At 38.0% G+C, this 24,130-nt stretch overlaps 1 protein-coding gene across 2 annotated transcripts in view; it reads left to right on the top strand.

Moving 5' to 3' along the window:
• Window positions 1-24,130, top strand: part of PDGFD (platelet derived growth factor D) — a 256,959-nt gene that overhangs the window by 214,739 nt on the left and 18,090 nt on the right. For both annotated transcript variants that reach the window (NM_033135.4, NM_025208.5), the window contains exons 4-6: window positions 1,685-1,747; window positions 5,759-5,957; window positions 22,283-22,497. In NM_033135.4, the coding sequence (NP_149126.1) occupies window positions 1,685-1,747; window positions 5,759-5,957; window positions 22,283-22,497 (477 nt within the window). The remainder of the gene's footprint in view (window positions 1-1,684; window positions 1,748-5,758; window positions 5,958-22,282; window positions 22,498-24,130) is intronic.

Raw genomic sequence — 24,130 nt, 5'->3', positions numbered from 1 at the left:
TGTGGGAATTCAGTGTCCTTTTAGTGTCTATTCTGTTTTGCAGAGTGCAGATACCACATTTCCTGCTTCTTTTCTATCTTCCCTAGGATTAAGATTAGAATAACGAGGCCGGGCCCAGTGGCTCATGCCTGTAATCCCAGCACTTTGGGGGGCCGAGGTGGGTAGATCACCTGAGGTCAATAGTTCAAGACCAGTCTGGCCAACATGGTGAAACTCCATCTCTACTAAAAATACAAAAATTAGCTGGGTGTGGTGGTGCACACCTGTAATCTCAGCTACTAGGAAGGCTGAGGCAGGAGAATTGCTTGAACCTGGGAGGCAGAGGTTGCAGTAAGCCAAGATCACGCCACTGCACACCAGCCTGGGTGACAGAGTGAGACTCGGTCTCAAAAAAAAAAAAAAAAAAAAAAAAAGTGACTAAAATAATGATGTCTAGTCGGTTTCTTTCTTTCTTTCTTTTTTTACTTTAAGTTCTGGGATACATGGTGGTTTGTTGCACCTATCAACCCATCATCTAGTCAGTTTCTAATATTTGTTCATTTTTTGAACCCCGCATTTGACTCGGTTCTCTCTCAGTAATCAGCTGAAATTTTATTAAACACAGGAAATTTATATATAAACCAGCCTCATCATAACCAATTAACAAATGTACTTCCAGCTCCTCAAAATGTTAATGAAATTTACACCTGATACTAAGCTCTCATTCAGTAGGTATACTTGGATAAATAAGCTGTCAGACTAGAGTGGCTGAACATTTCTCAGCATCCTCTCAAAACACCTCCCACTCCTCGGTAAGGCTGGAAAATATTTGCTAAAGTGATTTATTTTAGCAAGGTCAGAAAGCCATCTGTGGATTGTAAAAATGACAGAATTAGTTTTCCTTCCCTTAATGTTTTTTAAACTTCCTGGTGCTGTAGTAATTAACATGGAGGTCACATACAAATGGGAGACAAGTTTGCCTTTTAAGAGAAGTTTTTTCTGTGTGATCTATTGCTATCACACATCCACTAAGGCTTATCTGAGATAACTAATGTTTTCAAGTCTGCCCTTGACCTTCCTTCCCCAAATGGGCAGTACTTAGTCACTACCAGTCATTTTCTTCCCCTGCCATCCTTCCTTATATTTGTTGATATAGTCAGGAACAACCCCTTGGAAGTTAGTGTATCGTTGAAAAGATCACCAATATTTTGGACCAGGTCAGCAGGCAAGATTGAACATAATGCGTAACCTAGTTTAAACCAACTATATGTCAATAATGATAATTATTATTATTCTTTATCAAACACTTTATTCAGTGCCATTGGTAATTACATAATTAATGCATTTAATTCTTAAAACAGCCCTATAATGTAAGGATTCCATACTAGCTGAGGAAAGGAAGGACTGGAGGGGTTGTCAGTTGTCTGTGGTCACACAGCCAGTAGATGGCCAAGTTAAAATTTGCATTCCTTCCTGTGCCTTTTCCATTTCACCAGTACTTACAAGAAAATGTCCATGTCTTAAATGAGAAGGGTTCTTGAGGAGATGTGCTTAAGACAAATGGTGACCTGTTCAGCAGGAATATAGCCCTATGTCTGTTGTCACTTAGTTGGAAAAAGATTCAGAAGGCTGAGATGTTGAAACTGTGCACATAATGAATTGAACAGAGGTTTGACTGACTCACAGATGTTTCTTTGCCTTCCAGGAAGATTTCCAACCCGCAGCAGCTTCAGAGACCAACTGGGAATCTGTCACAAGCTCTATTTCAGTAAGTAATTTATTACTCTGTTGCCAGCAAAAGAAACGGATGGAACAGCTAAGGTCAACCCCAAAAGGACTTCACCTGCATTAAGGACCTGTGGCTTGATCAAAAGCTAGATCTCAAACAGGATGTGTTTCTCCATTTCATTCAGGTTACAATGGATTATGTCAGAAACCCTTTTCCCTGTCTGTCAGAAATGTTTCCAGGAACTGCCAGTATAGCATGGTAGGAACTCACACTAGGTAATAACTTAAATATTTTTCATTTTCAGAGCAGAGCATTCCAATTAAAGGTCTGTCCAAACATATCAAACATATCAAACTAGTTCATGGCCCACACTCAAGTGGGGAATTTCAAAATAGCTTTCGAATATTCCTGGGGAAGACGTTAACCTTTGCATTTTCAAGGGTCTTTTCAGACTTGAAAAATCCCAATGTTTACAGTAAGATAATAAGTGCAAATCAGGCATGTATTCTATTTTACTTGGATATAAAACATAACTCACCCTGAAGCTGTAAAATGGTTCATGCTCCAGTTTTTCTCTAAACTTAGTCATTTCTCAGTATTCAGTCTCCTTATCTACTTTGCACAGAAAGAACAGACCTTGTTTTCACCAATCCTATGTGTGGCACTTATGTAGCAATAAAATACAAGATAATAAATGCAGTTGTTTACTAAAAGGTCAAGAACATAGAGAAAGCTTGCCCATGGTTCTGAGTAGGTCCGTGTGGCTGAGTCAGAGTTGTTGTTTTTTTTCCTAAAATTGGTATGTTATCTTTTGCTCTCTGGAGGATTTTTTAAAAACTCTTTCATATGGCAGGATTCCCTCCACTATGAATTATGTGGCTATTTAATTCACCTGGTATGGATGCTGGACTAGAACCTCATCTGATCAAAAGATTGGAGAGATCTTTGACAGTGATAATAAGTGTTTTGTGTGCTTTCAACAGTCCAGAATACATGCTCTGAACCTAACTTGGTGTAGGCAATCATTATCAATTAGATGAAAGTCAACACAAGGCAGATATGCTGAAGAGGTGCTCAGGCTAAGCAGGAGGGTCACAGTAGAGGCTGATAACTCAAGGCAGACACCAGCAGTTTTTGCAACCTTGACTGAGGGTCATGGGATGCTGCAGCTTCTCAGGCACCTTCGACATGATAGCTCAGGGTTGTCTAATGATTCTTGCTCCAACCACAGAATTACAAGCCTTAAAGGACCTTCAACAAATTAAGAATAACCCAGGTCCTTTAAAAGAGAGGCATTGTCTCATCCTTTTGGAGTATCTGGGGAAGTTCCCTGGGTCCAAATCCACTGCAAAAGCTTCTCGTTTGAGTTTCAAGTCTAGGTGCTGCTTAACTCTCTTGTAAGACCAAGCTAGTTTCTTTACTCAGCACTCCATTGTTCAAGAACTTTCTGGAGCAGGAGCAGGGGTCATTGGACCTACCATTGACTTCTGTTTAAACCATACTTTGTTTTTGTTGAAAGTGGTTTTGCATTTCCAGAGCATTTCTTTTTTACAAATTGTTATCATTTTAAATTAATGCAGTTAACTTCAGAATTGATTTTTATAAATACGTGACAAAAGCTGAATGAAATCATATTTACTGTTCAGCTGAAGGAGACACATTAAATTAGTTCTTTTTCTCAAAAATAGTTTTAAAATATTTACCTCAGAAACCAAAATGTTCTTGTAGTCTTATTAGGTCACCTCATCATTCATAAATATTTCCTCAGCTGTCGTTGTTGTTTCTGTCAACTGCCCTAAATCAAAACTTGAAAACAGCAGTAAAGCTCATACATAGGGACATGTTTGCATTTTACCTATGGTTTGGATTGACTCTTCAGCCTCATGTTAGAAGAGATTAAATTTCCCCCTCCCTTCTAAGGGACTGAGAGTTCCCCACAGCTTTCTCTGAGAGAGATGTCTGTGTACACACTACATTCTAGGCACTGCTGGGAGCCACCCTGGAGAACTCCATGCAGCCACTTTCCCCAGAGCTGTCACAAGAAGCTTTCACTGGCGTGGGAATGACTTGATCGGTGTCCCTGTTTTTATTTCAAAAATGAGGGAAGCATTTTAATTTCAAAGATTTTTTATGTGCTGCCATGCTTCTAATTTCGTCAGCTCATTTTGAGTTTTGTGGTTCTTAGAACCACACTATTGTGACACAAGGCTGCTTGTAAACCATCTGGTGCATGTTAGCCAGATAGACTGTAGATTATCCGACAATACAAGTTAATGGCGATTTGGAATTATAGTCCTGAATTATAAGTCTTCCACCTCTAGCATGTGACCTCAAGAGAGATGTGAAAGACAGAAATGATGTGTGTCAGTCAGGGTTCAGCTCGTATCAAGCAGACACACACAGACACAGACACCCACACACAGTCACGTAGATTAAAGGGACAACCTATCAGAAACAGAAGGAACAAATATGGCTGCACCCAGATGAGAGCTATATAATATCAACAATATGACTGTAGAGGACATCTTTAACATGGCTTGAACTGTGATTAAATCTCTGGATTCTTCCGTAATGTATGACAAAGACCGTGCCTCCAGATAAATGATCATTATTACCTGGATACACCTGAACAGAATACAGAGTGGACTCATAAGGTAATGAATGTAGCATGGCAGGAAAGGTTTGTTCAGAACTTATTTTAACAAGGATGACTGAAAATTAGATGTATGGTTTCTTGTAAAAGAAAAAAAAAATGGAGCTGGCCTGACACATTCATCGGTCTATTTCACCCTCTCACCCAACTCCCTTGACTCCCTTTTCCCTACAGGGAATATTTGAAAACTGCTCCTGAGTTATACCAATGGTAGATTAATGCTTTAAAGCCTCTTACTTGTGTGAAGAGGGACTGTTACTCTGAGAGCAGATGATCATCAAATCACTTAGCAACCTTTGGACCTTGATTGGTTAAAGAGAGACAACATTGCCTGAGAGTAAGGTTATAAATTGTGGGCTTGGCTGTCTGGGACTCAATAGCACATAATTTTTCTTGATTAGATACTACAGTCAAATCTTAGGAAAGCAAGTTTTCATTAATTCCTATTTTCCCTTAGTGATAGGAGATATTTGCCTTTGGGGAATCTTATTTGTTTGGTAGTTTCTTTAAAGACATTTAAAAATCATTTGAGGCTGTATGCTCTCTATTTCCTTGTTAATGGGTCATGAATTTTAACAGAGATGTTTGAATCATGGCTCATTTACCTCTAGATTGTACAAGGGTTAGTGAAGTAAGTGCTTGGAAACCTCATGTGCCATGTATTCCATGGCAAAATACATAATCCTTTCCAGGCTTTCAATGATGTTGTGTTTCTCATTTAAAGAGTCTTCCTGAGAAGTTTTAATGGCAACTGGGATCACTAGCAAACTATAGCACTTTAAAAAAATATGTTCCCCATGTGAATCCTCTCCTTTTAAGTCAAGAGAGCCAATTTCATGGCTAATTATCTTTGTTGACAGTAAATAAGTTGGTGAAAGTGCTAAATTTTATGAAAATGTCTCCAGAGTAGATTCGTACATTGCTCACACATCATCTGCAATGCCAGGTGACCTGTAAAGGGGGAATGTGGAACTTAACAGTGGGAGAGTGGAATTAATTATCAAAACTAATGTGGAAGGAGTTTGAAATTTTGATTCCCACTATTATTTGTTGTTATGTGGATGATTTGGGACCATGAACCAAGAAACTGGATAACTTAATTTTATATATTTCTATCTCGTTCTATATTTTTAGATGATTACACTTAAGATAAACTGGAAGTTTTCTGATCTACTTGGATTTGATTTACAAAAAAGCGAATGTTATCTTTTTAGTAATTAATTGATTTTTATCCAAGAATATGGCAAGACAATACCATGTTGTTTTTACATAGCATTCAAACGTATGATGTCTTATACTCAGAAGCCTGTTTATGTTCCTTCCGTATAGTTGAATGACTGTTGTATTTCACAGCAATGGACTTATTCTGAGTACACTGAGCTGTATGTCACTCTTAGGGGGTATCCTATAACTCTCCATCAGTAACGGATCCCACTCTGATTGCGGATGCTCTGGACAAAAAAATTGCAGAATTTGATACAGTGGAAGATCTGCTCAAGTACTTCAATCCAGAGTCATGGCAAGAAGATCTTGAGAATATGTATCTGGACACCCCTCGGTATCGAGGCAGGTCATACCATGACCGGAAGTCAAAAGGTAAGAGACAGACACTTGTACATTCTTCATAAGCACATAGAAATCTTAACAGTACAAGCTGAGTATCCCTTATCCAAAGTATTTGAAACCAGAAGTCTTTTGGATTTTGGATGCTTTTTGGATTTTGGAACATTTACATTTATACTTGCTGGCTCAGTATCCCTAATCCAAAAATCTGAACTCCAAAATGTTCCAGTGAGCATTCCCTTTGAGAATCATGTTGGTGCTCAAAAAGTTTTGGATTTTGGATCATTTCAGAGTTTAGATTTTTGGACTAGGGACATAACCTGTAATAATGAGTAAGGATTAGCAGTACAATATATTTAACTCACTTAGATCAGGTGGTTACTATCAGTCCATTGTCATGTTTCACAGCACTTTCAAATGAAGTTCTGCATTTTGCCCAAACTGTGTTTTTTTTGCATCAGACTAAGAAGGGTTTGGTCCCGTGAAAGATATATAGGTCATAGTTTGGAGCTGGATGAGATCTTATAAAAATTATCTGAACCAGCTTCTTATTTTTTGGCAAGCAAGGCATTATTAGCCCCAATTTTACAGTGGAGACAGACAAGTCAGAGGAAGTAAGTAATTTGCCAATGTCTGTGTGGTTAGTTAGCAATGAAGAAGAATGAGGATCCTGGTCTCTTGCCTACAAGAACAGTGCTTGTGTAATTGATAGTTTTGCCTCTCTGATAGGTGTGAAGATTGGTTTAGTCCAGGGATGTCAGTGTTGGCAGGAGAGAACCCTGTTAAAGCAACAGCCAAAACTTTGTTGGAAAATTTCAATTCTACCTTCTAGATCTGATATCTGCTTGGTGCCTGGGTGGTTTATGTGCTCGAGATATAAATGTCTCAAGGCAGAGGAAAAGAAGGTCTGGAATAGTTTGGAGATGTGTGAGAGCACATATTCAATTAGAAACTTCAGGAAAGTACAATAAGGGGAGAACCGAGAGGAACATTAAGGCAGAGAGAACATCATGAGTTAAAACAATGCTTAAACTAAAAAAATAAATATCCAGGTCTTACATCTGAGTGATATGATCTTAGGATGAGAATGTTTATTGGCATGTAAAACTCCAATTAATAAAGATATGAAATATAGTTGCCTCTTATTGAATAAAACAGTTACTTCTAGTCTGTTATGTCCTTTCCTTATTTGATAAGGTTTGTTATAATTGAAATGTTCCCTAAAAGGTCTCGAAAGGCTGGTTTGCATTGTAGATATAAAGGTATTTCACCAAGATACAGCTTGTTTCCTGCACTTTGAAATATTAAGAATACTTTTAAGAACTGTGAACCTGGGCTGCTTTAGCACAACCATTTATAACATTTGGGACAAAATGACTAATTAGTTAACTCCTGCCTGGGCCTTCTGCTTATGGCTTAGCTAAGAGGGGGACAAGAAAGTCACTGGTGGCCCTGGTGTTATGGAGATATGCCATGTGCAGATCACTATAGCCCTGAATCTCTCCAGGGCACAGATTGGATTCAATTTAAAGAAAAAATTGCTTTTCTGTAAGACATTGCTGTGTTTGGATCTCTACTAGGTCAACTTAAAAGAAAGTAAAATATGCACATATTTTGAAAACCCCAGAGGAAATTTTATATAAAAATAGTATTGGACAAACGAGCAATAAAAGCTGACTCTGTCTTCAGCAATTCAAGGGACAGCCCTTCTTGGCATCTTTTTTTCTGGAAATATTAAAATTTTGAAATCACCTAAATCCATTACTTTTTTTCCCCCTAGAAATTGTGTTGAGTTGGAGGCAGGAGGCCTGGATTCAAATTCTAACCCTGCCACTTACAAGTTTTGTGATTTTTTTTTTAGCAGGCACCCTGATCTCAGTTTTCTTATTGGCAATGTGTGTGCAATAACACCTACTTCTGGGGACTGCTTCTGGTGCCATCAAGAGCACCTGACACTTGATACGTGTTCAAAAATTGTTAGCTAGCTATAATGACTTAGAATTCTGAAATATGTTTGCATTACTTCCTTGGTGAAGCCTACCTTGTCCCTTATTCTGTGATGTAGTCCCTGTGATGTCTACCCACCCCCTAACCTGGTAAAGTTAGGAGCACTTAAGACACCACCTCATTTTGTATGTCCTACTGCTGCACTGTTATTGTACTGTTGTGTTTCCTCTAAGAGGATCTGGGATCCCAGCACCTCCTATGGTTCTCCACTCTGGCTGAATATTTAATACCTGAGGGAGCTTTGAAAAACTTCAGATGCCTAGTCCCACCCCAGATACATTGACTCAGAATCTCAATGGGGTGAGACTGGGATATATATTGATATTATTTATGGTTCCTAGGAGAGTGATCCTTAGAGACAGCCAGTGTCAAGAAACACTACTTTAGAGATTGTTCATCCTGTATCTGCAGTACTTGGAACAGTCTCTGACATATTTTAGATGCTCAATTAATGTTTGTGGGATGGAATATATTACTAATCCAGTGTTAGCCTATTTCTAAAGTTTATAGAAACCACCCCATAGACTGGAGAGGGTAGCTTTATTAAAAATGTCTTTGGTTACCGAAATAACCTTGCAAGAGCATTCAAGGTGACATACTACTTGATGTTTGTGACAAAGTAAACATCGTCTCTCTCCCCTGCTGGCTTAGGTTGCATTTCTTAATCTCTTGTTTAAAATGGCCCTAAGGCATTTTTGTACCATTTAATTTAACCCTGGCAAGTCACCACTGTCTCTGCTCTTGTATAAATGTGCTGATTTAATTATTTATCATTCCATTGATGCTGAATCACCTGCATGTATCACAAAAACAAGGGAAGTCAGGTTTAATATTTCAGCTGGTATTTTCTGCTTTGAGAACTTAAAAATACAAATTCATGGCTTGTATGCCAATGTATGAGGAGGGGAGCAGTGAATAAACAGTGAAAACAGGAAAATAGCGATGGATAATGGAAGTCCATTAGGTGTCAAATAAAACTTTGCCTTTTCAGGATCTCCAAAAAGTCTCCTTCTATCAGTATAATAATTTCTTAATGATGTTGTGCAGAAGCAAGCTCATCATTTATGAATATCTTTTGAGCATCCATTCTTCTGATTTGTCCAGACAGATGGAAAGTGGTATTTTTCATGATTGCAAAGAGCAGGATTCTAAGATGACATTTGAATGTGAATATACAAAACACAGAGTTTTATGAACTCTGAAATAGAATGCAGACACACTGAGTAAAGAACTTATAATGAATCAGGAATATTTAAAATATGAAGGTTCATATTTTACAATTAAATGATGTGTTTTGCTTCTTTTTATTTAGTAGAAGGGAGGTGAGGTGGTAAGTGAGCTTTTTGTTCTCTTCAAGAAGAGTTGAAAATGGCGAATGCAAAAGAACAGTAAAGTTTTGGTGAGGAAAGAGAGAGAGAGGAAACAGATAAAATTACCAAGTATTGAAACCAGGATGTCAACGCAATAATGTCTACATTTTTAAAATTCACAAGTAATAGATAAGCTCAAACTTGTCTGTAAAAGCTTCTGGAGTGAAGATAATATAACAAGTTAATATATTCAACTTTCAGTTTCCTAGGGGGTAATGGAGAAAAGGGTAGCGTATATAATTGAAATCTGTAGATAACTGTAGTTTCAAACCTAATTTTTGCCAGTAGTTTCAGCCTCATGCTTTTAACCTCAAAGCTGCCCAGAAGTTAATTTTTTAAAAATCAGTATTTTAAGTTCAAATTGCATTTACTTTTTATGGTAGATATACTAATAATGAGTATCGGAAGTGTGCATAAAATTAAGTGAAATTATATGGGTGTTCTTTCTGTAAGCTACATAAATACTCCTTAAATTGCTGCATTACCACTGCAGTTTAACTAAAACTAAACTACAATTCATTGAAAACATATGCCTCCAGGGCAATCAGGCAGGAGAAGGAAATAAAGGGTATTCAATTAGGAAAAGAGGAAGTCAAATTGTCCCTGTTTGCAGATGACATGATTGTATATCTAGAAAACCCCATCATCTCAGCCCAAAATCTCCTCAAGCTGATAAGCAATTTCAGCAAAGTCTCAGGATACAAAATCAATGTACAAAAATCACAAGCATTCCTATACACCAATAACAGACAAACAGAGAGCCAAATCACGAGTGAACTCCCATTCACAATTGCTTCAAAGAGAATAAAATACCTAGGAATCCAACTTACAAGGGACATGAAGGACCTCTTCAAGGAGAACTACAAACCACTGCTCAATGAAATAAAAGAGGATACAAAGAAATGGAAGAACATTCCATGCTCATGGGTAGGAATAATCAATATCGTGAAAATGGCCATACTGCCCAAGGTAATTTATAGATTCAATGCCATCCCCATCAAGCTACCAATTACTTTCTTCACAGAATTGGAAAAAACTACTTTAAAGTTCATGTGGAACCAAAAAAGAGCCCACATCGCCAAGTCAATCCTAAGCCAAAAGAACAAAGCTGGAGGCATCATGCTACCTGACTTCAAACTACACTACAAGGCTACAGTAACCAAAACAACATGGTACTGGTACCAAAACAGAGATATCAACCAATGGAACAGAACAGAGCCCTCAGAAATAATGCCGCATATCTACAACTATCTGATCTTTGACAAACCTGAGAAAAACAAGCAATGGGGAAAGGATTCCCTATTTAATAAATGGTGCTGAGAAAACTGGCTAGCCCTATGTAGAAAGCTGAAACTGGATCCCTTCCTTACACCTTATACAAAAATTAATTCAAGATGGATTAAAGACTTAAATGTTAGACCTAAAACCATAAAATCCCTAGAAGAAAACCCAGGCAATACCATTCAGGACATAGGCATGGGCAAGGACTTCATGTCTAAAACACCAAAAGCAATGGCAACAAAAGCCAAAATTGACAAATGGGATCTAATTAAACTAAAGAGCTTCTGCACAGCAAAAGAAACTACCATCAGAGTGAACAGGCAACTTACAGAATGGGAGAAAATTTTTGCAACCTACTCATTTGACAAAGGGCTAATATCCAGAATCTACAATGAACTCAAACAAATTTACAAGAAAAAAACAAAGAACCCCATCAAAAAGTGGGTGAAGGATATGAACAGACACTTCTCAAAAGAAGGCATTTATGCAGCCAAAAAACACATGAAAAAATACTCATCATCACTGGCCATCAGAGAAATGCAAATCAAAACCACAATGAGATACCATCTCACACCAGTTAGAATGGCAATCATTAAAAAGTCAGGAAACAACAGGTGCTGGAGAGAATGTGGAGAAATAGGAACACTTTTACACTGTTGGTGGGACTGTGAACTAGTTCAACCATTGTGGAAGTCAGTGTGGTGATTCCTCAGGGATCTAGAACTAGAAATACCATTTGACCCAGCCATCCCATTACTGGGTATATACCCAAAGGATTATAAATCATGCTGCTATAAAGACACAAGCACATGTATGTTTATAGCAGCACTATTCACAATAGCAAAGACTTGGAACCAACCTAAATGTCCAACAACGATAGACTGGATTAAGAAAATGTGGCACATATACACCATGGAATACTATGCAGCCATAAAAAATGATGAGTTCGTGTCCTTTGTAGGGACATGGATGAAGCTGGAAACCATCATTCTCAGCAAACTATCACAAGGACAAAAAACCAAACACCGCATGTTCTCACTCATAGGTGGGAATTGAACAATGAGAACACATGGACACAGGAAGGGGAACATCACACACTGAGGACTGTTGTGGGGTGGGGGGAGGGGGGAGGGATAGCATTAGGAGATATACCTAATGTTAAATGACGAGTTAATGGGTGCAGCACACCAACATGGCACATGTATACATATGTAACAAACCTGCACATTGTGCATATGTACTCTAAAACTTAAAGTATAATAATCATAAAATTAAAAAAACAAAACAAAACAGAAAAAACATATACCTATGAATTTAAGGACAATGTATATTTATTCAAGTTCATAGCATAAAATTCAACATTTCTAAATTAAGAAATGATCAGCCCTGACTGGACATTAACGGAGAGGTGATTTATGGAGATAAACAATATAAGTAAGATCTGTTCTTTTTCTTATTCCAGGAGAACTTGACTTTCTAGAATGATAGTGTGTTCACCAAAGAAAAATCCAGGACATAATGGCAAGGAGGGAAACCTGTTTTCAAAGCTTGTGTTTTGATTAAAATATGAACAAAATTATTGGGGTGTTCCAAATTAATAGTTTTAAATTAATAATTAAAATATATTGTTCTCCAAAAAGTAATCATTTTTAGATACACATGCTAAAATTCAAATCCACTCCTCTTTTAAAAAGTGTTTTAGACTCGACACAGTGGCTCACTGCTGTGATCCCAACACTTTGGGAGGCCGAGGTAGGCAGATCGCTTGAGCCCAGGAGTGAGAGACCAGCCTGGGCAACATGGTGAGAACCTGTCTCTACAAAAAATACAAAAGTTAGCCACGCGTGAAGCATATACCTGTAGTTCCAGCTACTCAGGAGGCTGAGGTGGGAGGATCACTTGAGCCCGGGTAGTTCAAGGCTACCATGGGCTGTGACTGCACCACTGCACTCCAGCCTGGTCAACAGAGTGAAGACCCTGCTTTAAAAAAAAAAAACAAAAAACAAACAAACAAAAAAACAGTATTTTAATATTGAGTGCAGTAAACATCTTGATACTAAATTAGTTCCAAATGATGACGTTTGAAATATGTGATTTTTACAGACTCTAAATGGTTAGATGTTACAACTGTGGAACAGTTACCAACCCATTTCCAAGGATCTAATACCAATTCTATTATTTTCTCCATGACATTTTCCTCTAAAATCTAAAACATTTGACTCTAATTTGCAAATTATTTACAGGTAAATAACTAGCATAAGAAACTGAGAAATAAATGAAATAAATGTTTTATATCAGTATGTTTTCATTCGTTCTGAGTTCTCTTAAGTCAGAATAGGTTCTTTAAAAAAATTTTATCATTTATTGCTGTTTCTTTGTCATGCCACTGCATGCTAAACAGGAGGACACAAGTTTTGATTTTTCAAAAATGATTTCAAATGTAGGAAATTATTCAGAGAGCATTAACATATGAACATATTTTAGAAACTGAGTGCTTGCAATTTTCTCTGTCTGCCTATTTGATACTTGGGTTAAGAATTTGCCAAAAGCTGTTGGCCGACACCAGTGATGAGTCAGATCAGTCAGTCTTCAGATATCTGTAACTACATCTCTGTAAATTAAGGAGGTACTGGTGACATCAGTAGATAATAGACATTAATAATAACTTGTGTTGCTTATTAATATTACATTATTGTTAATAATAGTTTCTATTATTGAAAGATGGTTAGCTTCATTGAGTTTCCTGAACCATGTGGTATATTTGGTACCTTTACCAAGTGAAAGTTTTATTTATCAATATTAAAATTGTTTGGCATAAATTTAATAGAAATAGAGCAAAAGAAAGAAGGACGTTGCAATGGAAAGAGCATGGACTTGAGAGTCAAACTAACTTGTAATAAAATTCTAACTCAAATCCTAAAATCAGTAGCAGTGGCCTTGGAGAAGTCACTTACAGACCCCTGATTCTCTATTTTCTTCTCTTTGTAAAATGGCTCTAATTATAAGCACTTTGCAAATTTGTGTTAGGATTAGGTAATGAAAGAGTATCTAACACCCTCAATAAATGATAGCTACTGTTATTATTTGAATTGCTTGCAAAACTCTGCACAGAACCAAGATATTTCTATTAATTGCTCTGCTGTCTTCCCTATAAGGCTCTAAGATAACCATCAGTAATCTGGAGAGCCTCACAGATAGTATTTGGCAAATATTGTCTTATTTAATTATCTGTATAATCAGTGTACTCATTAAAAGTTTTCAAAATTATCTCCAAGTACTAAACTTTTCTGATACTATTTATCCAGAAATTTTCTGACACTATTTTGCTTATTGGATGTTTTTTCTGCTAAGCTTTTCTTTTAGAGACTTTTGCCACTGTTTATGACTCATATGATTTGTAAGTATCTAGCTGCCTCACTTACTCTGTTTGCCAGCAAGCATTCATAAAAACCATATTGTTGTTTATCATATTGTGTGTGTCTATGAGGGCACACACATGAAATATTTTAAGAAAATCTCAGCAGTGGGACAACTTTCAGTTGTTTTTCCTCCTGGTGCCTGTGCCACCTCTGCTTTCATCCTAGACGCAGTTGTCCGTCTTTGTGGATATCCTAACCCCACCCTCATTATCAAAGTTATTCCCCTCATCTAGGCATGTCATTCAAATGCAAATCAATAGGAAAAATCCAGTTGACAGTGGAAAGCCATAGGTAACTTTTAGCGTCGGATGAACAAATGTGCATTTTCCACTGCAATTACTCTTGTTAAAGAGAAATGTGTGTTCCTTGTGTTTGCTGTGCTAATTTTTTTCTGTGAAGCATTGGAAAATTATTATGGGATTGTTTTCCTTTATGCCCCACTAGACTTAAGGAGACACTACACTGCTCCTAGAGCATATATGCTTGTAGGCCCTGCTGGTGCTGAGAGATCCAACTCACTGAGTGTCTTTACTTGCTAATATAGTTATGCATTGTGTCCCCACCCAAATCTCATCTTGAATTGCAATCCCCATAATCCCCATAATCCCCACATGTCAAGGGAGAAACAAGATGGAGATAATTGAATCATGGGGATGGTTTTCCCCATGCTATTCTTGTGATAGTGAGTGAGTGGCACAAGATCTGATGATTTTATAAAGGGCAGTTCCCCTACACTTGCACACATGCTCTCCCTCCTGCCACCATGTAAGACGTGCCTTTGCTTCTCCTTCGCCTTCTGCCATGATTGTAAGTTTCCTTAGGCCTCCCAGGCAATGCATAACTGTGAGGCCATTAAACCTCTTTTCTTTATAAACTACCCAGTCTTGGGTGTTTCTTTATCTCAGTATGAGAATGGACTAATACACTTGCAAAGGATAGTGTTACGTCTGATGTAATCAAACTGAAGACACCTGATCATTGGCTTTTTGTATTTAGTTCAAGGTGGGCATGGCCTTCTATTCCTTAGTAATCACCAATTACAGAATCTCAGCTCCTTCTAGTTTTAGGTGCTTCTGATTTAAACTTCCTTCTTTGATCTGTGTTACTCACTTCAGTAATAATGTGGGCATACCTACTGAGAGGTAGGATTTAGACCTGTGCTTCAAACACTCAAAACTCATTTAATCTTAACAAGTTCCTTGGCAGGAGCTACTGTGATTCCCATTTTGCATAGTAAAAGAAAAAAATTCAGAAAGTTTCTGTGAGAGCTAGAAAATAGAGAATCATGACATGAACTTGGCCTTGTTGGCTGCAAAGCTCATGCTGTGAGCAACTCAATGGTGTTTAAAGCTCAGGGATTCATAGTCTAGTAAATGAGAACAAGAAATTTTAAGACCTTCATCTCCTAACTTGTTTTTTAAAAAATTTTTCATTTCATAGATATGCTTTATACATCACCCCAGGTCATGAATTCCCAGGGTTCAGAGAATGGCTTTATGATGGTGTTACTGCTTTCATGGCTAATTCAGTGCCTTCCAGATATTCATTCAGTCATCCATTGATTTTCCAGTACATATGTGCTGAATATCTACTTACGTCCAGTGGCTTTAGGCAAGTCACTTAAGTCCTCTGCAACTCAGTTTCTACATCCATCCAATGGGAATTGTAATATCTAAGATGAGGGTTTGCTGTGAGAATTAAATGAAATTTGATTTTGTGAAAGCATCTCACAAAGTGCTGGATACATAGTAGTTGCTCAGTAAGTTTGCATTCACTCGTTGCTTCACAATGCTTCTAAACCTTGAAAATCAGGAATTGTCTGATTAAGAATCTTTTGCTGTGATTTAGGTTAATTTGTGTAAAAACAAGTGGTAAATGTTTTTATTCTTTAGATGTTAAACCCACATGTGGAGTCACAAAATTCAGTGTCTTTCATAATTTTAAGTTAAAGTATCCTGATAGTCCCTCATTAAAACTTATAAAATAATTGTCCTTTCCAGATTTATTTGCACTTCTGCATTGGGATTGAAATGTGAAAACAGTTTTCATAATTATGTGCTGATTTATAGAAGAGGGATTCTGAAAATCACAGTGAGGTTGTAATATTCATAAGGATGAAGACTCCTGGTGAACTTATGAACCTTGAGAAAGGCTGAGAGCCCCTGGTTGTTTAACAAAAATAATACAATTATTCCTATAGTCCCCTCACCTCCCACCCCACCCCAAAGCATCATAAACCTGGTGCTGCAACATTAAAGGGAAATGTTTAGCACTTTTCATAACAGATTATGGCACTGTCTCCCATTTGACAAAGGCAATGTTCCTTAGCACCTTGATGTTTGCATCTGAGAACCAGTCTTCTCAAGACCATGCTCTACCATGTGTGCCACTCCTATATTTCACAGATCTTGGTGCCAGTCATCTCATGCATCTTGGTTCATCCTTGGCAGAGATGGTTCTAAATCCTAGTTTCTTAATTCTAACCTAACACTTTCGCACTACACCACATCCTAGACTAGTCTTGAGATAAGATCCAAACATTCAACATATAAAGTATTAATAATACTCTATGCATTCCTGAAAGATAGTTGGAATTGTTTCACCTTTGTGATAAAAAATTAAACTGAAAAAATCCATGGTTTATCTGATTCATTCAGGTAGTAATTATTGAGTGTCTATTTCTTGCAAAGGGAATCTGGCACAAAGACGATGTTGTGCTTCCTTCAGCAGCACCTTGCTCCTAATCGTTGAAGTCAAATGGTTTTAGAAGTGAGCTTGAATGAGCTGCATTTGGTCCTTACATTAGGGACAAAGTACTAGAAGAGAAGGGATAAAAAGATGATTAGCTCTCTACCTCCAACAACTTTTTTAGTTCAATAGAAGAGAAGCACCTGAATATGGATGCTTCTTAACTTTTGATGGGTTTACATCCCAATAAACACATTGTAATTGGAAAATATAGTTAAGTCAAACCACATTCAATACACATAGCCTACTGAACTTCGTAGCTAAGCCTAGCCTACCTTAAACATGTTCAGAACGCATATATCAGCCTATAGTTGGTCAGTATTATCTACCACAAAGCCTATTTTATAATAGAGGTTTAATAGCTCATATAATTTATTGAATACTTTACTGAAAGTGAAAAACAGAATGGTTTTATGGGTGCTCACCATTAACATACACAGCTGAAAGCACCATCAAAAAGTAAAAAAAAAAAAACTCATGTTGAACCATTGTAAGTTGGACTATCTGCAAAGAAAACAAAACAAGGTCTATGAAGTAAATGCTATAATAGAGGGCAGAAAAAGTGTGGTGAGTACATAGAGAAGGAGTCATAGGAGATGTAGAGTGAATATGCCTTTTGACTTGAGCTCTAGAAGATTAAAATAATATAGCAAGCTGAGATGCCAGAGAAAGCAAAACAGAAGAACAAGAGCATGGTTTTCAAAAACATCATGGCCCTACTTTGAGTGCTCATTCTCCACATGCCATCACCATGTGGTAAATATGCACTAGTATGTAGGCTGCTGCTGCATGCCTGCTAAGAGTTTATAAAGAACTTTAGCATTATAAAGGCTAGACCTTGTAACAACAATAAAATGATTACTGGTGCCAACATGGTGAAACTCTATCTCTAATGAAAATACAAAAATTAGCTGGGCATGTGGCACACACCTGTAGTCCCAGCTACTCAGAAGGCTGAGGCGGGAGAATTGCTTAAACCTGGGAGGCGGAAGTTATGGTGAGCTGAAATCATGCCACTGCACTCCAGCCTGGGCAGCAGAGCAAGACTCTGTCTCAAAAAAAGAAAAGAAAAGAAAAGAAAAAGATTACTGACTGTCTTCAAGGACATGCAGCAGTTTAATTGGATTCTCTGACAGTCTGTGGATGATCAAGAGAAAAAAGCATGTGATTCTACTATCAGAATAAAGATTGATGAATGGCCAGCACAGTGAAAGCCAACTGATAACTTAATGTTTAGAGACTGACTCAAGGAAACCATCCTCTTGTTGACCAAAACAAGCAGTAAATTATTGTGCATGTGGAGAACAAAGGTGCTTTCCCATGTTCAAAGTGAGGAGATTATTTTGTTTCATAATGAATTTTTGTATTCACAAAAACAGACTTACCTTTACATACCTTGATTTTGACCCAGTAAGGCACATTTTGGACTTCTGTCCACCAGAACAGGTAACTTGTATAAAATAATAAATATGTTTCACTTTAATAAGGAATAGATTTTTAAATTTTTATCTTAAGCTGATCACCACCCATGTTGTGCTTGCCAAGTATGTGAAATATTATATTGGTTTTATCTGTCCTACAGAAACTAGAATCTTTAGGATCCTGGCATTTGTTCCCACTGAGGACAAATCATTGCTATCAATCCATTCAGCTCCTAGATGAGGCAAGAAAGGGTTCAAGGAGAAATGAGGACAAAAGGAAGAGTGTGCATTGGCCAAAGTCCACTCGGTTCAGATAAAAGGACGAAATGTTTTATCACAATACCAAAGACAAAAGTAGACTCTGAATAGCTGCCTGGTTTATTAGTCAGAACTGAATAGGTGGATGAGGATACACAGCTGCTCGTGCTTGGGTATGTGTATTAATGACATTGTGAAAATGACAGGTTAGTGCCTATGGGTGCACCTAGGAAGCCAGGTCATTTGCACAGCAAGTGGTCCTCTGGTGGGAAGACTTCAGCATCGCTTGTGGAAGCTGCTCTCTGAACCCTCCTTCAAATCTTTACACTGGGCTCATAATGTACAAAAGGCATGAAGAGGCCTGGATTCAAACTCTGGCTCTACCACTGACTGGTTGTATGGCTGTGGACAAGTTTTTTTTTTTTTTTTCTTAACTTTTGAAAGGCTCAGTTTCCTCAACTGCAAAAGTAAGAGTAATGATTGTATGTAATTCATAGCATTTATGAGTATTTCATGCACTCATGATGAACACAGCACTTAGTAGTCTAGATGGCCAGGATCAAAAAGAACAGGTTGACTCTCCTTCCTCCCACACCTAATATTAGAAACTATAAAAGGGTGTGCATTCACATCCCCATTCTAGAGCTCAGATCCCAGCATTCTTATTACATCTCAAAGCACCTCTGTGATTAGGCTGCACCTAGAGGCAGGGCTGCAGAAGGAAAAGTGCGCCCCTGTGCACTGTGCAGCACCCCACACTTTACCAGTATGTCCAAAGGAAGTTTTTGAGGACAGGGGAGCCTTCCCAGCCTTTCCAGAAAACTGCCTGTATGAGGCCCAAAAAACTTAATTGATGTCAAAGAGCTTTGATAAAGCAAAACTAAAATTCAGAATGACAGAAAAAGAGGGATTATTCCATGATGTAGACTGGGATGAAATAAGGGACGTTAGTTGAAATTAGCGGGCCCTTGAATTAAATTTGGAACACCCTTGATGCTCTGAATGTTCAGCTATGGAGACTGATGCAGGAACAGAAAGGGCAGCCCCTCTCTCTCGGTTGACACCACTTGGCCTGTCTCCCTCCCAGAAGTCTCACTCTAGAATTCTCCTTCTAACCCAAGCACCAGAAACCTTAATTGCTGCTCAGCCTCTGTCTGGCTCCCTGCTCTGCTGCACTGGCTTATCAGTCTTCTTTGACTGGAAACTCAATATCCCCTGCAGAAAGTCTGCAATCACGCTTTGAAGTTATTTGCATCCAGTCAGAACAACCTTTCAGTTCTAATTCTAAATTGAGTGCCTCGGTGATTTCAATCGCCTGATATGTAGGGCAGGTGGATTCTACAGCAGTCACACTGGGTCACAGTTCTTAGTGACATTAGTGAATTGATGCATAAAACTGACAGAATTGTGAATCTCCTCATGGTGAGTAAGAAATGAAAGTAACCAATGCTAGTCAAAGAGTTATACAATGTGAGGAGTTTGGTTTCAAATAGAATGAGGCTTACATGCCTTCTCCTGGTTTGTGGAGGGCACTTTGGAGTTTATTGGAATTCCTATAGGGAAGGCATGCTGTACTTTGGCTTGGGTGTCTTCTGAAGATAAGGATGTGGCCATTCACCACCCAACCCTGGTTCAACATCAGACAGGAAAGTCCAGTACAGCCCTCATAACACTGGTCTTCTTCCTTCAACTAATGGCTTACTGACCATCCCTCTATTCTGCTTAAAGTGACAGAGACTATGGAGCAAAAGGGGGAAAGGCTTCAATTCCAGTTTTACCATTTACTGTTAACTCTTAGCAAATAATACTCACTTGAAATGGGTGGGGAACAACTAAATGTAGTCATATCTGTAAGGTTATGACATAGTTCAGCAGAGGGCTGAACGAAAGCAGAGACTCAGTGTTGCCGCTTGCGTCCTGTCCCTCTCTGCCTTCTCACACATCACGATCCCTTCCTGCTAATTGTACCTCTTTAGTCCTCCGTGTTAGACAAATATCTTCCCATTATCACAAGCAGCAGATTTGGCCCTCTGCATCAGCCCTGTTCACAAGCCCAGGAATGCACAGGCCAGCATCAGTATTTATCTCAAGGTGACACTTGTAATGGATGATTGCTGCACTTCTTAATCCATTTATGTAATCCTTTCTGCTTTGCTTGCAGTTATTTTCAGGGCTTTAGCAGCAATAAAATGGTTCCTTTCCCAAGACAGAGTTCATTCAATTTAAATCTGGATTGATTATAGCTAAAGTTATGACATGTCTTTACAAAGGAAGAAAAAAACAGCAATAAATTATGCACAGTGATTATTTGGCATTTATTTAGTTCCCACAGTATCCTGGGCTCAGCGTATGACAATTGGGGATAAATCCCTGCCCTTGAGAATCAAAGCACAGTTGTAGATATAAAAAGACAAACAGGGATGCGGTTAGTGGACTCATGGTCCACACTTGTTCCTGCAATTTTCCTTAGATGCATTCTACTGACACTGTCCTTGACTTTTGACCTCTGCTCCCAAAGGCTTTTTTTCTTCCTTCTCCTTAAGCAGTTTCAGTTTAAGCCTAAGACATTTACCAGGGCTAGAGTTTAGAATGAACATGGTGATAACTGCCTAACATTCATGGGATTCCTTCTGTGGTGGCCTGGTGCACACAAGGGCGTGCATTGGGAAAGGGTGGTGGGTTCTGTGCAGACAAAAGGACTTGCTTCTAACTGTGTTCTTGTGAGAAGATACTCATGTATGTATGCACCAATAAGAGGATTTGGCTGCCAAATGGATGGATAATTGGATGGACTTGGAGAACACGAAATCAAATCTAATTTATGTAACACAATAATGCGAATTGAATTCAAGTAAATATTTATGACTTAGCTTTGAAAATATTGTGGTGCTTTTAGTTCATAGAAGTCCCACTGACCATATCCCTTGATAATCATTTATATAATGTCCAAAGAAGAAAACATAAAGAGGGAGAAAGACGTAGTATATTTTTAAATTTTGTCCATTTGACTTTAAAGGAAAAGAATGTGAGAGGGGGAGATTCAGATGAATCAAGATTAGTAAGAATAGCTGGCATTGAGTGCCAGGCACGTTACATTCAATTCTTCAAATGATTACATGTTATAGATGAGGAAGCAGAAGTTCAGAGCCATTAAATAACTTTCCAACTAAAAGGAAACATAGCCATGATGTGATTGAAGGCAGTTGTAACTTTACTGCGGCTCCAAAGCACTTAACCACTATGCTATACTGCCATCTAGGACCCAGTGCACAAATATGCACCATATTCACACACAAAAAAATCATTTTCTCTAACATGTTGATTAACTTTGAAGTTAAAAATAAAACTAAAACCCTTTTCTTTATTACATTTATGTGTGAAATTTCACTGCCAGGTAAATATAATACAGTGGTTGTCTCTAATGTGTCCTAGATATAATTTAAATTATATTTAAGTGATGGCTTAGAGTCAGGATTTATTTAGAATGAAGAAGCAGTTTATTTTGTCTTTTTGAAGATAAAGGCAATTATTTTAATTTGCCAAATGTTTCATTTTCTTTCCTCTGAACTTTTTTTGCATAAAAAAGATGCAAGGAAATTTGAACCAAGACATGAATTTTAGCCAAGGTTTTTGTTTTGTTTTGTTTTTGTTGTTATTTTCAAAGGGTAGATGGGATCAAGAGAGAAATTAGGTCTTTTACTTTAGGTTCCCAGTAATTGAGAGCCTGAGGATGGATTTAATCCCAGGATTAAAGTTGTCCTCACAGAATCTTCCCACTCTATTCCCCAAAACACATGCTGAGCAATTGTGCTTACTGTTGTGTTTGCTTACACAGTGCATGTATTTGCTTACAGTTGACCTGGATAGGCTCAATGATGATGCCAAGCGTTACAGTTGCACTCCCAGGAATTACTCGGTCAATATAAGAGAAGAGCTGAAGTTGGCCAATGTGGTCTTCTTTCCACGTTGCCTCCTCGTGCAGCGCTGTGGAGGAAATTGTGGCTGTGGAACTGTCAACTGGAGGTCCTGCACATGCAATTCAGGGAAAACCGTGAAAAAGTATCATGAGGTATGTCATTCTTAGATTTCTTGTTGCAATGCTTAATCTATAGGATTCAGGAAGACAGGGCCATTGCATACAGTTGTTCAGGTTGTTCACTGCACAAGGGCACCCAGCCAGGGTTTGATTAGGAGCAGAAATTCTACCCACACTAGGTTTGCCAAGCCAAGTGTCCTGATGACAGGTTAATCCTATCCTGACGAAGGCACTGTTTTTTCTAATTTGAACAATACACCATGTGGATCAACATCAACATTGTTAGAATATATAATCAAATATGTGATACAGTAATTTCAGAGCTTGACCTACTTGCAGAAAGACAGAAAAAAAGAGAAATATGATGTTATTCATTTACAGGATATGACGGCACAATCTCATAAGCAAAACCTTAATTCAATTATATCATTTAATAAATTTGGCACAATAAAGATAGCAAAATATAAATTGTCAAAGATCTTTTTATTTTCTAAATATGAAGTATGTTTCAACCGGAAATGCTCAGTTTATTTTAACTATTATTAAGTGCTACTCAGGGAATCAGCTCTTGGATTATGCAAAAATAGACAAAAGTAAAAGAATATAGGAGGAACAAAAACTTAAAGAGCACAATAACCTTAATAATAGTAACAATGGCATTTATTGCTTGACAAAAACTATTGTAAGTAATCATTAGCTCATTTAGCACCCCATCAACAATATTGTAAAAATGTCACTATTTTTATTCTTTTTTTATAGGTGAGTAAACTGAGCCCTAAGAGGATCAGTAAGTTGGCCAGCATGGCCTGGTCAGTAAATCACAGAGCCAGGACTCCAACTCCAATCCACTGGTTCCAGGGTCTATGGTTTTTCTTATCACTAGTAATATATAGCACTTTATTGAGCATAAAAGATAGGCCGGGCGCAGTGGCTCACGCCTGTAATCCTAGCACTTTGGGAGGCCGAGGTGGGTGGATCACCTGAGGTCAGGAGTTCAAGAACAGCGTGGCCAACATGGCAAAACCCCGTCTCTACTAAAAATACAAAAATTAGCCAGGCGTGATGGCAGGCACCTGTAATCCCAGCTACTCAGGAGGCTGAGGCGGGAGAATCACTTGAACCCGGGAGGCGGAGGTTGCAGTGAGCTGAGATCGCGCCATTGCACTCCAGCCTGGGTAAAAGAAACTCCATCTCAAAAAAAAAATTACATATATATATATATATATATGTGTGTGTGTGTCTGTGTATATATATATATATATATACACAGACACACACACATAGAGAGAGAGAGAGAGAGTAGACTGAAGAGGAGTTAGAGCTCTTCCGTGACATAGGCAGCAGCTCTAATTACTTTATTATTGTGGAAACACATGCAAGTCACTAAAGTTTTGACTCAGTTTTCACATATTTAAATAGGACTGAAAAATTAATATATCAGATAACCCCTTCCAGAGTTGCTCTGAGGGTCAAATAAAATAATGCATATGAAATATATTTTGCAAGATGTTAAACATCATGCAGAAATATGTTTTAAAATATAAACTAAAATATGAAGCAAACATCATTGTTAGGAATTACTGTTTGAGTTGCTCTCCATCAGTGTCCACAGCAATCCCATTACTGGGTATATACCCAAATGATTATAGATCATTCTGCTATAAAG

The sequence above is a fragment of the Homo sapiens genome, chromosome 11 (genome assembly GCF_000001405.40).
Source record: "Homo sapiens chromosome 11, GRCh38.p14 Primary Assembly".
Lineage (NCBI taxonomy): Eukaryota > Metazoa > Chordata > Mammalia > Primates > Hominidae > Homo > Homo sapiens.
Note: the sequence above shows the minus strand (reverse complement) of the source record. Positions and strands in the feature narration are given on the sequence as shown.